The 16,705-nt window shown below is 37.7% G+C and overlaps 2 protein-coding genes across 3 annotated transcripts in view; both read right to left on the reverse strand.

Moving 5' to 3' along the window:
- The window catches only part of CCDC169-SOHLH2 (CCDC169-SOHLH2 readthrough), a 129,598-nt gene that overhangs the window by 1,442 nt on the left and 111,451 nt on the right, over positions 1–16,705 (reverse strand). The window contains exons 12-15 of the mRNA NM_001198910.2: positions 5,064–5,211; positions 4,818–4,909; positions 4,034–4,152; positions 873–1,129 (exon numbers count right to left, since the gene is read on the reverse strand). Coding sequence (NP_001185839.1) covers positions 873–1,129; positions 4,034–4,152; positions 4,818–4,909; positions 5,064–5,211 — 616 coding nt within the window. The remainder of the gene's footprint in view (positions 1–872; positions 1,130–4,033; positions 4,153–4,817; positions 4,910–5,063; positions 5,212–16,705) is intronic.
- Positions 1–16,705, reverse strand: part of SOHLH2 (spermatogenesis and oogenesis specific basic helix-loop-helix 2) — a 46,340-nt gene that overhangs the window by 1,442 nt on the left and 28,193 nt on the right. Inside the window, exons 7-10 of one of the 2 annotated variants that reach the window (NM_017826.3) lie at positions 5,064–5,211; positions 4,818–4,909; positions 4,034–4,152; positions 873–1,129 (exon numbers count right to left, since the gene is read on the reverse strand). In NM_017826.3, coding sequence (NP_060296.2) covers positions 873–1,129; positions 4,034–4,152; positions 4,818–4,909; positions 5,064–5,211 — 616 coding nt within the window. Of the gene's footprint in view, positions 1–872; positions 1,130–4,033; positions 4,153–4,817; positions 4,910–5,063; positions 5,212–12,345; positions 13,540–16,705 lie in introns of those variants that run through there. The other variant, NM_001282147.2, reaches the window with a different exon arrangement.

The raw sequence follows: 16,705 nt of genomic DNA on the forward strand, positions 1-16,705 counted from the left end.
TAGGCCAATTTAGTTTGAGTCTTCCTCTAGCACTAGACAGTTCTTCCAAACAATGCAGGTATGACTGTTTCATATGCTGACCCATCTGCCAGGACTGCTCTTGCCTACTCACTCCCGATTCCTCACCCCTCTACCTAGCTATTCCTTAGTGGCTAGAGATTGACATAGATGGTATTTCTCCAGGGGTGAGCAGTCACTAACCTTGCCCACATCTAGCTGATATATATAGTGGGGCACTCCTCCTACCCGCTTCAACCATATTGTAATTTCTGCTTCTTTGTCTGCATCCCCTTAACACTAAATCTGCATGAGGGCAGGGATCGTGTCTACCTTTGTATACCACATTCTTAGTACAATGACAAACTCAATGTCAGAACATAATGGGTGCTCAGTAAATATCTGCTGTATGAAGACACCTGGTATCTGAAATCAGCCTGGCTGGTGACTGAAAGAAAGCTTTTTGATTAGTGTAAGTGATGCTGCCCACCTAAGAGATAAGTAGCAGTTAGTTACGGGGCCAGTTGAGGATGAGGGTGCTAAAATGGGATGTGCCACTGTGGAAGCTCTGAGTAGAAGCAGAGGGGTGGGCAATCAGTGCTAGGGGAGATCAGATTCCACCTGGTCACCGTCAAACTAGCACAGTCCCATTCAGCTTCACTGGTTCTGGATATCGAGACACCAGCCCTGCAGCATGAGGAGCGAGAGCATGGGTTGACTGCACCTCCTTTTCACTCATCAGGGTAGAGAGACTCAGAATCAAGCTCTTAGGTCCCAGCCTTCCAACCAGAGTAGCAACAACAAATGCAGGTCAGGGGTTTCTGCTGGCTGGAGTGAAAGGGTCCAATCTGATCCATGGACCCCTGGAAACTTACCAGACAGTTGGGATGTGTAGTGCACGTCTGGCCCAACCCAGAAGTGCAGTGCCGAGGGAGAAGCTTTGAGACCGGGGGCATGGCTGAAGGTAAATGAATTGAAATGTTCTGATTTGTTACAGCAGTTGCATCGTAGGAAGGGGTGACTTTAGAATAATATCTGACAGTATGCAAGGAATTCAGAGACAGCGCTGCACTGGAAATGTGAGTTTTATATGGATCACCAATAGCATTCTCTGAGGCGGAGCTTGATGGAACTTTAATGAGAAAGAAAACAAATATGGGTCAGTATCCACAATTCTGTAATTCAGAACGACTGTTATTCGACATAAACTGCCCGCTATTTCATTTCCTCACATTACAAATCTGTACTACCTGCTACACCCGAATGCTGATGGAAAAACAAAGTGAACTTTCTAATTGTGACATTTAGTGCAATACACACACTATAAATTAGTGTTCATGTACATTAAAAGACAGGTTTTATAGAAGCAGAAGATCCCTGTGCCTTCTGATGTATGTGAATGTGCACGTCAATCAAAATTGACTCTCTCTGAAGCAAGGAAGAAGGTTGGAAAGAACAACTCCATTCAGCAGAATGGTTTATATCATCATATAGCTATATTCTACATGGTAACTAGAAGAAAAAAAATTGAATATATAATATTAACAATGTAATCTCAAATAATACCATCAATATTTATTTTCTACTGGACATTAATAATATTGAAAGTAAAATAATATAATGGTATGTCTACTTTAAATACAAATGTATCTGAAATGTTTGTGGAAAAATAATTTAAGCAACTGTATACAGAGATTTATGAAAAAGAACAGAAAAAGGCAAGCTGATAAGGTTAAAACATGTCTGTGTTACAGATCAGGCTCAGCACAGAAACCCTGGGACCTTGGGTGATCATTTAACTTCTCTAGCCTTCAACTTCCTGATGCGGGTAGTGAAAGCGAAATTTGGAAGACTTAACTGATTGCAACTTCTCTGATCCTCTTTCCAAAACAATTTGGCAACATGCATTAAGAGCCTATACATACATTCACGTTCTCTGTTCTCTAAGTCACCCATCACACTCTTCCAGGAACCCATTATACTCTTCCAGGAATCCAGTCCAAGGAAAAGTCCAAAATACAGAAAACTTCATATATGGGAAAATATTTCCTATCATATGATGTAAAAAATCACTCTCTCCCCAAACTGCAAATGCTAAATGTAGCGACTGGAAAATGGCTAAGAAAATTACTCTACCCTTGATAAATGATTAAAACTATTAAAATGGTGATGAGTGATGCATAACAACAAATATACATATGTATGACACAAAGTTAAGTAAAAAAATTCAAGAAACAAAATGGGATATCCAATGATTACTACTATAGAAAAATATATCTGGAAGAAGACTTGAAGGAAATACATTAAAAAATGAACACGGTGATTATCTTATCCAGGTTAGTAAAGGATCGGCACTGGTTTTCAAACGCAAAAATGTATTTACATCAAATAAAAATGGCAGTTTTGACTCCTTAACCTTCAAGGCCTCCTAGGGTTTGAACCTACCACAGGTCTATTCCTAGCATATCTCTGGCTTCCCAAGATTGGTCTCCTTAGGGGAGGCAGTGTCTTGAAATGCTGGGGCATAGAAAGGCCTGAACTCGCTGCCACGAAAATAATGTTTCAGAGTTTCTGCAGGACATAAATAGTATTGTATGTACAAAAAAATAACATTGACAGGCATATGCCTGTGGCCTGATCTCTATCTGATTTAATCTAAGCTGATTTAATCATTCCATGTCACATTCAGCCACTGCTACTTATGGCAATTTTTTTTTCTTCTCCTCTCTTCTCTCCTCTAAGTTGGGAGAAAAGTCTAAACTGACTAAAATAACACCCTGAGGCTTCTTTGGTGATATGAAGAATCAGGGCTGGGTTCTATCTGGGGGTCCCTGCTCTTTTGACTTTAGACACTATGCTGCATAACCTTCATTTGTTCCCATGGCTTCCGCCACATCCCCATCTGTGCATGGTTCCTCTACTACAGCACTTACAAGACTGTCTGGGCCATAATTTCTTTTGTGACCCTTTCTACCACTAAGTTGTGAGCTCCATAAGAACAAGAACTGCCTTTTATTCATCTTTGTGTCCCCATCTTTGAGGCAGGGACATTTAAGCTGAGAACTAGGGATGGACTTGGTACTAACTAGCGCAGGTGAGGGAGGAAGGACATTCCTGGTACAAGGGAGGTGCTTGGTGAGAGCAGAGCCTGTTGGAGGAAGTCAGAAGTGTCATCTAGGACTGAGAGGCTGAGGAGAGAGGCAGTCCTGTCATCTAGCGTCTAACATTTAGGTCAAGAGGTCCATACCTTCCTGGTTTCTAGACGGAGAGTAACTTTATCTTCAGGAATACTAAAAGTCACAAACTGCTAGCTGTGTTCTTTTCCTCTATTTTTTTCCATCTTGTTATTTCAGGTACACGGGCATGTCTAGGCTTATACGGCACATATAACAAAAATGCCTCCCAGCGGGAAAGCATTTGTTCCACAATGAATATTCACATAATGAGATTTCTTGAGCCCCTCCTGTATGTTGGTCATTGTTCTAGGTACTAGAAATACAGCAATGAATAAAACCAGCCAAAAAATTCCCTGCCTTCATGGAGGTGACATTCTAATGGAAGATAGGCAACAAACAAAACACACAAGTAAAGAATAGCAGAAGGCAGTGAGTGCTATCAAGACAAATACAGCAGAGAAAGTGGCTGAGAAGATCTCTTTGAGAGGTGACATGCAAGCAAAGGCATGAAGGAGGTAAATAAATATGTTAAATGCTCAGGACACAGTCAGTCCTGAAATTATACGAATACTTCCCCTCCCCTGAGATTCTATTCATATTATAAACAAAGTCACCAGTGTGCTTATCATCTATCAACAGAATGAGCTTTCTGGTAATTACGGTCAATTTTGAGCCCAGTTTCTGGCATAACACTATTTAAACAACTGTAGCCACCTTGTGTACCTGAGGCTGACAATACCAGAAGGACTCATCAGCTCTCCTGGATTCCCTGGTTATGGTGGTGAATGCACAGGAGCCTGGGGGTTTGCAGGGCAGGGCAGGTCCCCCTCTAAGTGGCACAGATGCTAGGAGAAGCTCACCTCTCACAGCTTCATCCAAGGAGCTCTCTGCATCAGGAGTGGAGCACCCATTCCAGCACGTATTAGTCAGGAATTGGAGCCCTCTCTCAGGGGAGTAAGTGCTCATCACACTGTTTTCCCTTGAAAGGACAGAAAAAATTATTTGCACATTTTTCAAGGAAAACAATGTGGACACTGCTGAGTTCAATTGCCCTTTTATCATTCAAGTTCTAAAAACACTGATAAAGCCTCAACTATGGATTATTTACATATGAGCAAAGACACATGACCCACGATAATTCCTTAGGATGTGCAGGAATGATGTGCTTTTTCTCCAGTTTCTCTTTGTTTACATATTCTGATCAATCTAGAGAAGAAAGTAATCATTTGGGAAGTCACATTTTGCACTAATGACCTGCTTTAAGCACCACTAATTGAAATAGGGCTGGACAGCTCCAGGGCCCGAGACCTCTCCACAATGGAGGAACACCAGAAGCCATCACGTCCCTGCTGGACCACCACCATCCCTACACTCACAAGGGAGAAAGCCCCATTTTAAGAACCTCAGAAATAATGAAAGGAGAAGCAAGGGTGAGTCACATGATGAAAAAACCATGGACCTGAGAATATTACCTGTGTTTATCACTGCAACGAAATGATACACATCGGCAATTAGAAAAGTTCGCTGACCCTTAATAAGCCCCTGCACTTTCACTGTGGATAGCAGTTTTTGTGTACATATTTAGCATCAACATGGGAGGAAAATAACTAGCAGACTTCAGATTCGCAAAAGCCCTTATCATACCGCTGTGCCATGACAGTGCCTGGGAGAGACAGCTCAATGGGTGTTTGTTGTTTCTTACAAAACCTCATGTTGCTCTGAAGTGCTTCTGTAATCTAAAAAACACAGAAATATATTTAGGTAGATACCGACATTTTTACATAGATACAAAGACACATACTTTCCAATGATAAAAAATTAAAAGAAGTAAAATTGTAGTATTAAAGCATGTCTATAAGGATAAAATTCAAAGCTTTGGGAGTCAAATACCTGGGCCATAACGGCTGGAGAGATTTTCTCCCGGATATATTTCACATAATCAACTGTTGCCTCAAGAACTGAAGCCGCATCATTCTTTCTCCCTTTTACATACGGCAAGAGAGTACGCAGCTGCTCACAGCAATATTTGATTCTTTCCCTGGACACAGAATTGCAATACATAAAGAATAATTAGTCTCATTGTCTTCATTGTACCCAAAGACAAACAACACTTCCTCCTGGGTATGTTTGTAAAGGAACCATCCCCTCCCTATATAGTCTCCATTTCAGAGAAAGGCTGTGTCCCCACAAGCCAGCAGCCCTCACAGCCCCTGAAATCACAGCTTCCTGGGGCACCCACGCATACTGCTACACAAAGAACCACTGCCCAAGTGCACTGTGTGTGCCGATGGCAGCCCCAGCTCTCTCACCTCAGGCCTGCTGCAGAGCGCAGGATGCCCAGTCACCGAGGAAAGCACCCTTCCCACCCCCTGCTGCCTACGGAAATGTGCAGACCACTCTGCCCTCCGAGCAGAGAATTGTACATGATATAAAAATCCTTTTGCGATTCACACTAGAAGCCTAGAAGGCAAAGAGCAGTCAGGACCTTCATGTCACTGGGACCTAGACCACATTTCCAACAACAGATCAGCTAGCATCTTGTACCACATGACTTCATGGCCTGAGCAAAAAGAAAATCAGAAGGCTGCTTCCTTTACATGAGGTAGGTACAGACAGAACGAGCAGACCAGGATGCAGGTATCAGAAAGAAACTAACCTGTCTTTCACAGCTCTGAAGGGGGATAGGAAATGTAGATCTAACTGACTTAAGCCCTTGGTGGCTTCATTTATCCATGTGTTCCTTTAATAAACATCTTTAAGCACCTGTTTTGTGCTGAATACTACCTTGACATCTACAGGGTTGAATGGTGGCTCTGCTATTACTAACTGGAACCTTAGGCAAGTTACTAAACCTCTGTAAACACCAGAATGGCAGAGAAATTATATTTAAAAACCTAGTTTGACATACGGCCAATGAATAACTCAAATATTCTACATCAGTGGTGTTCTCACTGAGCTCTGAGGAACTCTGGGGGCTCTGCGGGGGTGTCTCGGGAACTATTCTGGGAAGGGAAGGATAGAAGAGTCAACAATTTGACAACGTGTGTGAAGGGCTTTGAAACTTTTCACAGCCTTTGACATGGTTCTTCCACTTACAAGGATCCGTCCTGAGGAGTGAATCTAAAACACAGAGCACAGTATGTATACACAGAAACCCATTAGAGCAATATATTAGTAAAATATAGAAAACAACACATAACATAGGAGGATGCCTTAAGTAAGCTGCTGTACATTATTAGTTCAGTAGAATGTCACCTGGCAGTGGAAGTGAGATGTTATAAAGCTTATTGGGGAAAAGTAGGCCACAAAACAGCATATAAAATATAATCCAAGCCACTAAACAAAGTAGAAGTGAAGCCTAGGAAAAAAGACTGAAGGCAAAAACATCCAGTACAGTTATTTCTGGATGGCTGGATGATGGATCATTTTTATTCCCTTTATTTTCTACATTTTCCAAATATTTTTTGCTAGGCATATGTCACATTCAGAATTGAAACTATTGAAATGCTATTAAAATTTTCCAACATTAGAAAAATGTTCGAACATAGAGAAAATTTGAAAGAATTATACAGTGAACACCTATACACTTACCACTTAAGAGTCTACAGTTAACATTTACTGTACAGGTTGAGTATCCCTCCCCATAATGCCTGGGGAAGTGTTTAAGATTTCAGACTTTTTTGGATTTTGGAATATTTGCATAGACATAATAAGATAGCTTGGGGATGGGACCCAAGGTTTAATACAAAACTCATTTATGTTTTATAATATATATATATAGCCTGAAGGAAATTTTATACAATATTTGTACCTGAAACAAAGTTTGTACACACTGAACCATCAGAAAGAAAAGGTGCCACTATCTCATGTCAGTGCTGAAAAAGTTTGATTTTGGAACATTTCAGATTTCAGATTTTCAGATTAGAGATGCTCAACTAGTATCTGCTTTATTATATATGTGTCATCCCACTATTCATACATTAACATATTTACATATATTAAAGCAAGGTAAGTTGTAGACATAAGCACATTACACTCCTAAATGTATCAGTAGCTCAAATTACTTTATTTTCAGGTAAACACTACATAAAACAAAAATGCACAATGAGTCCCATTCTATGAGTTTGGACAAATACATACAACTGTATGTATTTGAAATATATATGTAACGAAAATCCTAATCACACATGAAAATCCATTATCACAAACCCAGAAAGGCCCTTGTTTCTTCCCAGTCAATACCATCCCCTAACCCCATAAAGCAACTACAATTCTAGTATTTTTTTTCCATACCACATCACTTTTGCCTGTCCTCAAATAGCATATAAATAAAATCTTACAGCATGTATTCTTTTGTAAAGCTTCTTTCACTCAGCTTTAATGTTTCTGGGATTTATCTATGGGGCTAACCATATCAGCAGTTTGCTCCTTTTCACTGAGCAACAGTATTCAAAAATATATAAATATGCCACAGCTTACTTATCCATTCTCTTATTGATGAACACTTGGGCTGTTACCAGTTTTGGGTTATTACAAATAAGGATGCTAGAACATTCTAGATGTCTTTTTATGAATGCATGGTTTTATTTCTCTTGGGTAATATCTAGGAATAGAAATGATGGGCCATTTTATAAGTTTATAAAAACAGGCAGAACTCTTACCACACCAAGGGAGTACCATTTTACACTTCCACCATCAATGTATCAGACCTCTTGTTCCAAATCTTTGATGATATTTAATATCATCAGTAGTTTTCATTTTAGCATTTTGGCCTTTCTGGGGCATACACAGTAGTATCCATTATGTTTTAATCTGCATTTCCCTGACAGCTAATGATGTTGAGCACTTTTTCCTGTGTCTTTTGGGCACTTGTATAGCTTCCTTTGTCAAGCGTCCATGCAGATATTTTACCTACATTTTAATTGAATTGCAGGTCTTTTTATTTTTTAGTTTTAGCAATTCTTTACATATCTTGGATACCAGGATTTGTCAGATATCTGTTTGGCAAATATTTTCTCCCAATCTGCGGCTTTCGTATTTATTTTCTTAAAACTTTTTGATAGCAAAAGTTTTAAATTTTGATAAATCCAATTTATTTACTCTCTCTCTCTCATGGTTATTGCTTTCTATGTCCTGTCTAAAGAACATCTGCGTACTCTCAGCTCATGAAGACATTCTATTTTCTTGTAGAACTGTAATGTCCAATACAGTAGTCAATAGACGTGAGTCTATTTAAATATAATAAATATAAATTAATATTACATATATTAAAAATTCTTTTCCTAAGTTGCAATAGCCACATTTCGAATACTCAATAACCACATGTTGCTAGTGGCTACTGTATGAGATGATGAAGATATAATTTTTAACACAGCAGAAGATTCAACTGAATAGTGTCATCCTAGAAGCTCTATAATTTTAGCTTTATAGTACAGCTCTGAGTATGCTCCATCTTGAAATAATTTTTTATATGGTGTGAAGTAAGGGGTCAAGGTTGATTCTCTTTCCAGATGGATATCTAGTTGTTCCAGCATCATTTATTAAAAAGATTTTCTGTCCCAAAATATTTGCTTTGGTGCTTTTGTTGAAAATCAAATGACTATAAATATGTGGATCCAGTGCTGGGCTATTGTGTTCCATTGATCTATTTGTCAACTTTTATGCCAGTTACCTACTGGTGATTGTAGCTTTAGGGTAAGTCTTGAAGTCAAGATAGTTTAAGTCCTTCTACTTTGTTGTACTTTTGCAAAATTGCTTTGGATATTCTAAGTCCTTTTCATACATTGTAAAATCATCTTGTCAATTTTTATGGAAAAAAACTTGCTGGGATTATGATTTGGATTCAAATAAAGTTATGTTTCAATTTGGTGAGAACTGAGATCTTAACAATAGTGAGTCTTTCAATTCATAATTATGGTATAATTCATGATTTAGTTTTTATTTAACTTTTCATAGTAACATTTTGAATGATCAATGTACAGATCATTTGTTTTTTTTTTTTTGCATATTTGTTCCTAAGTATCCTAAAGCTATTTTATTCTACTTTAAATGTCATAATATTTATATTTTCATTTTATAATTATTTGCTGTTAATATATAAAATACCATTGATTTTTGTACCTTATCTTCTGTAACCCTGTTATAGTCATTCTTTGGTTCCAGTAGCTGTTTTGTAAACGTCTTAGGACTTTGACTTTATACCCAATCATGCCATCTACATATAGTAAGCCAGTTTTCCTTCTTCCTTTCTAATGTGTATGTCTATTTCTTTATCTTGCCTAATTGCAATGGCTAGGATTATTTATTTGATAATGAACAGAAATGGTAAGAATGGGCACCCTTAGTTTGTTCCTGATCTTTTTAAGGAGCAGTCAACATGTTATCACTAAGTACAATGTTAGTTATAAGTTTTTTATAGATGCCTTTTAACAAATTGAGGAAGTTATCTTCCACATCTATTTGCTGAAAGATATTTGTTTTTTAATGATAATGGTATATTGAGCATTGTCAAATATTTTTTCAGAATTTGTTAATCACATGGTTTTTCTCCTTTATTCTGTTAATGTGGTGAATTTCATTGGTTTGCTTTGTTTTTGAGGCAGAGTCTCACTCTATCATCCAGGCTGGAGTGCAGTGGCACCATCTCAGCTCACTGCAACCTCTGCCTACTGGGCTCAAGTGATTCTCATGCCTCAGCCTCACGAGTAGCGGAGATTACAGGTGTGTGCCACCAAACCTGGCTAATTTTTTTATTTTTTTTTTGTAGAGGCGAGGTTTTGCCATGTTGGCCTGGTCGGTCTTGAACTCCTGGCCTCAAGTGATCCACCTGCCTCAGCCTCCCAAAATGCTGGAATTACAGGTATGAGCCACCATGCCAAGCCCAATTGGTTGATTTTTGAATGTCATACCAGTCTTGCTTTTCTAGGATGAACCCCTGATGTGGTCATATTATATCTTTATATATTTCTTGATTTAATTTGCTAAAATTATGTTAAGTGTTTTTGTTTTTATGTTCATGAGGGATACTGGTCTGTAATTTTCTTTATAAATAATGTCTTTGTCAGGCTTAGGGTTATGTTGTTCCCATGAAAGGGGTTAGGAAGTATTCCCTCCTCCCACTTCTGTAAGAACGTGTTTAAGATTAGTATTACTTCTTTAAATGCTTGCTGAAATTCATTGGTAAAACCACCTGAGTGTTTTCTCTTTGGTAAGGTTTTGATAACAAGTTCAATTTTGTTAAACATAGAGCTATTCCGACTTTCTGCTTCATCTGGTATCAGTTTTGATAAATTGTGATTTTCAAGAATTTATCCAGTACATCTAGGTTGTAGAATCTACTGGCATAAAATTGTTCAAAGTATACTCTTTTGTATTTAAATATTTAGAGTAGCTATCATGATCATCCCTCTTTCATTCATGATTGTGATATATTGTGTCTGTCTCCCAGCCTCCTCCCCCTTCACCACCCCACTTATTTGGGTTTATTTTGTTTTACTTTGTCTTGCTTCCTAAGATGGAACCTTATATTACTGATTTTTAGGCCTTTTGCCTTATCTAATATAAGCATTTAAAGCCACAGTGTTTTCCCTAAACTTTGTTGTAGTTTACTTAAAAACTTTGATATATTGCATTCTCTTTTTTTAAATTTAAAGTTCCAGGATACATGTGCAGTACATGCAGGTTTGTTACATAGCTAGACGTGTGCCATAGTGGTTTGCTGATATATTTTGTTCTCAATAGATTCACTTTGAAATATTTTCTAATTTTTCTTGTGATTTTTTTTTTTTGTTTTACCCATGGATTACTTAGAAGTTTTTTTTTTTTTAATTTCCATATATTTAAGACTTCCCTTTAAATCTTACTCTTACTGATTTCTAATTTAATTTCGTTGTGGTCAGGGAACACATCTTTATTAATTCAACTCTTTTGAATGTTTTGAAGCTTCTTATATCCCCACCGGTATGCAGTCTATCTAAGTGACTGTACCATGTGCCACTGAGAAGGAGTCTTCTGCTGCAGTTGTTGGGAGTGTTACTCTATAAATATTCATGAGATTGAGGTGGTTAGCGGTGTTCACATCTTCTAGAGCTTACTGATTTTCTGGTGTCCAGTTGTATAAATTGCTGAGAGAGGAGTGTTAAATCTCCAGCAATTGTTTTAAAATTATCTATTTGTCCATTTAATTCTGTAAATTTTTGATCCAAATATTTTGAAGTTCTTATCACATGCTATTTGTGATTTTAATATCATTCTGAAAAGTTGACGCTTGTATCATTATAAATTGCCCCTCTTTACCGCAGGTAATACTGTTTGTCTTCAAGTCTACTTTATTTGATATTAAAATAGCCTATCTGACTTTCTTATACTTCCTGTTTCCACAATGGATATATTTCTATTAATTTATTTTTTTATATTTAAAGCTTCTCTGTTACAGACAGTAGATAGCTGGGTCTTAGGTTTTGTTTGTTTTTATCTATTCTGAAAACTTCTGCCTATAAGTTGGATATAGTTGGATAAAGGTCTACCATACCTTTTTTTCCCTCTGTAGTCTCTTTTGCTTTTTTATTCTTCTGTTCCTCCTTTCCTTCCTTCATTTTAAAATATTTTTAAAAATCCAATTTTAATTTATCTTTTGGCTTCACAGCAATGCATTTTGCCTATCTCTTTAGGGTTGCTCTAGGGATTACAATATATATCTGAAGTTTTCATAGTCTAGAGTTAATACTTTATGACATCACATAAAATGTATAACTGCAGAAGTTATGCAAGTGCATTTATCCCACTCATTCTTCATGTAATAGTCATATGTACTATAGCTACATATGTTATAAACCCCATGATACATTGCTATAATTCTTGCTTATAACAGTTTTAAGTATTTTAAATAGTTTAAAATGAAAAATGTTTGTTTTTGCTCAGACATTTATCATTTCTGGTGCTATGTAGTCCTTCTAGTGATTCGAGTTTCCATTTGTTATTATTTCCCTTCCGCCTGAAGAATTTCCTTCAGCTTTCTTACTCTGCAGGTCCACTGGTGTCAAAATATCTAAGTTGTCTTTTATCTGAAAATGTCTTTATCTTACATGAAGATAAAGGGAAATAATATCTGATGGAAATATGATTTGCACAAACAAGTGAAGAGTCTAAGACATGATAAATATGGTGGCATACATTAAAGGGTAGTTTTCTAATTTATTAATGTTTTAAAAACCAATAGTATATATTTATTTGACAGGCCTAGAGCAGCTGTATACTGCTAAGATTTCTACTACAGAGGCAAGAAAAAAGTGTCCTTGTACTTTATGTCCCTTTGATTGTGGCAGCCAAGACTGAGTGGGGAAATGCAGGAGCAAAAGATGGTAATACAGGGAAATTCATGGGGAGAGAATTTTTGCAACTCAGACAAAATCTTGTATACAGTGAAGAGCCTGTTCTACTGCAAACAAGAATCTGAAATTTGGGTTAAAAAGATAAGAGTTAAGATTAAAGTCACTGAAAATTACTTATTTCTCCAACAAAGAGTCAGGGTCCATTTCCTCTCCTCTTGAATCTTCACTGGCCTGTGCCTGCTTTAATCAAAAGATATCTGGAGAGTGACTCTATGACAGTTCTGGGACCAGCATTTCAGAAGATGTAGCTTTCACACTGGTCTCATGGAATCCTAAGCCTTCATGTAAGAGGTCCTTCTAGCTTGCTGGAGATACCATGTGGAGAAGTGATGAGACCACAGGGAAGAACAGCCCATTTGAGCACAACCTGCAGCCACACCCACCAGAAGACCACATGTGTGGATGACGCTGCGCTGGAATCTCCAGACAGGCCAGTTTTGCTGGCTGAACATCACGGAGTGCCATGGTTAACACCACACTGAGAAGAATCACAGAGCCAAGCTCTGCCCAAACTGGTGACTCACAAAATCATGAGATATGATAAACAGTTTGTTGATTTCCACTACCAAGTTTCAGAGTAATCTGTTGTACAGTATTAGATAACTGGGCGACAGCTTACTGTTTAAGCAAAACAAATAACAATGCTGGGTTGATAACTGATGTGGCTTGGATGTTTTGTCCCCTCCAAATCTTATGGTGAAATGTGATGCCCAATGTTGGAGGTGGAACCTGGTGGGAGGTGTTAAATCATGGGGGCACTCTAGGGCTTAGCTTAGCGCCATCCCCTTGGTGATGAGTGAGTTCTCACTCAGTTCATGCAAGATCTGGTGGTTTAAAAGAGTTTGGGGCCTCTCCTTTCTCTCTCTCTTGCTCCTCCTCTTGCTATGTGACACATTGGCTCCACTTTGCCTCCTGCCATGATTGTAAGCTTCCTGAGGGCTCACCAGAAACAGAAGCTGCTATGCTTCCTGTACAGCCTGCAGAATCACGAGTCAATTAAACCTCTTTTCTTTATAAATTACTCAGTCTCTGGTATTTCTTTATAGCAACACAAGAATGGACTAACACAATAACATATGTAAAAGTAAAATGTATGACAACAATAAGAAAAAATGAAAGAAGGTAAATAGAAATATGCTGTTGTATTTTAAGGGCATAATATCAATTCAAGGTAGATTATGATAAGTTAAAGATGCATATCATAATCCCTAGAGCAACCAATAAAAAATAGTTACAGCTAAAAAGTCAATGAAAGAGATAAAAAGAAATGCTAAAGTATACCTGATAAATCCAAAGGAAGGCAGGTAATGAGAATAAAAGGAAAAAGAAAATAGATTAGACTAATGAACACAAATAGAAAAATTGTGAACCTAAAACCGCACTTAACAGTAAGTATATTATATGAAAACGAACAACAGAGATTGTCAGAATGAGTAAAAAATAACAACAAGATTCAACGACATGCTATTTACAAGGGACACTCTTTAAATATAAAGACATATACAGGTTAGAAAAAAACCATGCAAACACTAATCACAAGAAAGCTATATTAATATCAAAGTAGATTTTTTAAGACAGGGAGTACTAGCATAGAAAAATTAGCATTATCATTTCCTTAGGATAAGTGGGTCAATTCAGCAAGAAGACAGGCATCTAACAACAGAATCTCAAACTACATGAAGCAAAAACTCTCAGGAAGAAAGGGAAAAAGAGTTGTCACTGAAAAACTTAACCCTCAAAAAATCAGTAAGGGAGCAGAATATATGAAAAACACTATTGACTAATTCTACCTCATTAATATTTATAGAATACTACACCCCCCAAACAGAAGAATACAGTCTTTTCAAATGCATATAGAACATTCATCAAGGGAGAACATGCTTTGGGCCATAAAACAAGTTTCAGAAAATAACAAAGGACAGAAACTTTACAAAGCATGTTTTCAGATGACAGCATAATTAAATTATAAATCAATACCTAGAAAGTCTCCAAACATTCAAGTTAAGTTATACACTTCTAAACAGTGAAAAGACTTACTAGTGAAAAGAAAAAAATCACAAGGGATATGAGAAAATATTTTGAACTGAATGATAGTGGAAATATATCAAAGTTGATGAGATGCAGCTGAAGCAATGCTTAGAGAAAAACTTTTATAAAGGAAAAGTTTTAGCTTTAAGTGCTTATATTAGAAAAGAAGAAAAGGTTAAAATCAATGATGGAAGTTTCTACCTACAAAGACCTTTTTTTTTTTTTTTTTTTGAGACGGAGTCTTGCTCTTGCCCAGGCTGGAGTACAGTGGCGCTATCTCGGCTCACTGCAAGCTCCGCCTCCCGGGTTCACGCCATTCTCCTTCCTCAGCCTCCCGAGTAGCTGGGACTACAGGCGCCTGCCACCACACCCAGCTAACTTTTTGTATTTTAGTAGAGACAGGGTTTCACCGTGTTAGCTAGGATGGTCTCGATCTCCTGACCTCGTGATCCACCCGCCTTGGCCTCCCAAAGTGCTGGGATTACAGGCGTGAGCCACTGCACCCGCTCTACTTTTTAAATACTTCAAGTTCTGGGATACATGTGCAGAACGTGTAGGTTTGTTACATATGCATACATGTGCCATGGTGGTTTGCTCCACCCATCAACCCGTTATCTAGGTCTTTAAGCCCCGCATGCATTAGGTATTTGTCCTAATGCTCTCCCTCCCCTTTCCCCTCAACCCCCCGACAGGCCCTGGTGTGCAATATTCCCCTCCCTGTGTCCACGGGTTCTCATTGTTCAACTCCCACTTATGAGTGAGACCATGCGGTATTTGGTTTTCTATTCCTGTGTTAGTTTGCTGAGAATGCTGGTTTCCAGCTTCATCTACGTCCCTGCAAAGGACATGAACTCATTCTTTGTTATGGCTACATAGTATTGTGTGGTGTATATGTGCCACATTTTCAAAGACTTTTTTTTTAAAAAGCAAAGTATAGAGGCCGGGCACGATGGCTCATGCCTGTAATCCCAGCACTTTGGGAGGCCGAGGTGGGCGGATCACGAGGTCAGGAGTTTGAGATCAGCCTGGCCAACATGGTGAAACCCCATCTCTACTAAAAATACAAAAATTAGCCAGGTGTGGTGGTGGACACCTGTAATTCCAGCTGCTTGGGAGGCTGAGGCAGGAGAATTGCTTGAACCCGGGAGGCAGAAGTTGCAGCGAGCCAAGATTATACCACTGCACTCCAGCCTGGGTGACAGAGCAAGACTCTGTCTCAAAACAAACAAACACACAAACAAACAAAAAACCCACAAAGTATAGAAAGACAAAGAGCAGAAATCAATGAAATAAAAAAATGAGCTAATATAGAAAATCAATGAATCAAAATCTGCTTCACTGAAAAAAAATCGATAAAACTGACAAACCTTTTTTTGCTAGACTGATCAAGAAACAAGGCAGAAAACACAATTTATCAATACCGGGAATGAAAAAAGCCATCATCACAGACCTGTAGATGTTAAAACGATAATAAGATCATGTTGTTAAACAAATGTGACACTTAAGATTAAATGGACAAATTTCTTGAAAGACATAAATTAACCAAACTGACACAGAAAAAAACAGCCAAAAGGAAAAAATAGGGAATTTAGTCCTATAATAATTACAGAAATTGAATATGTAATTAAAATTTTCCCACGAAGAAAATTCCAAGCCTAGATGACTTCACCGTTGAATCCTATCAAACATAACATTTCTACACAAATTGTTTCAGAAAACAGAAGGTTTTCCATTTCATTTTATATGACCAGTATGAGATAAAGACATTGTAAGAAAACTGCAAACCAATATCTTTCATAAACACAGATGCAAAAATTGTTAACAAAATATTAGCAAATATAATCCAGCAATAAACAAAAATTATCTACACCTTAAGACAAAGTGAAGTTTTGCATTTAAAAAAATCAGTCATAATCACCACATTAACAAACAAGAGGAGAAATTATCATCTTACTAGATAGAGAAAAAAAGACTGACAAAATTTTACATCCATTCATGATAAAATCCTAAACTAAGACTAGAAGGAAACATTTTTTTAAGCTGATAAAAAAGCATGCACAAAAGGCCACAGCTTACATCATATGTGATGGTAAAAGACTTAACATTTTCCCTCTA

This window comes from Homo sapiens, chromosome 13 (assembly GCF_000001405.40).
Source record: "Homo sapiens chromosome 13, GRCh38.p14 Primary Assembly".
Classification (NCBI taxonomy): Eukaryota; Metazoa; Chordata; class Mammalia; order Primates; family Hominidae; genus Homo; species Homo sapiens.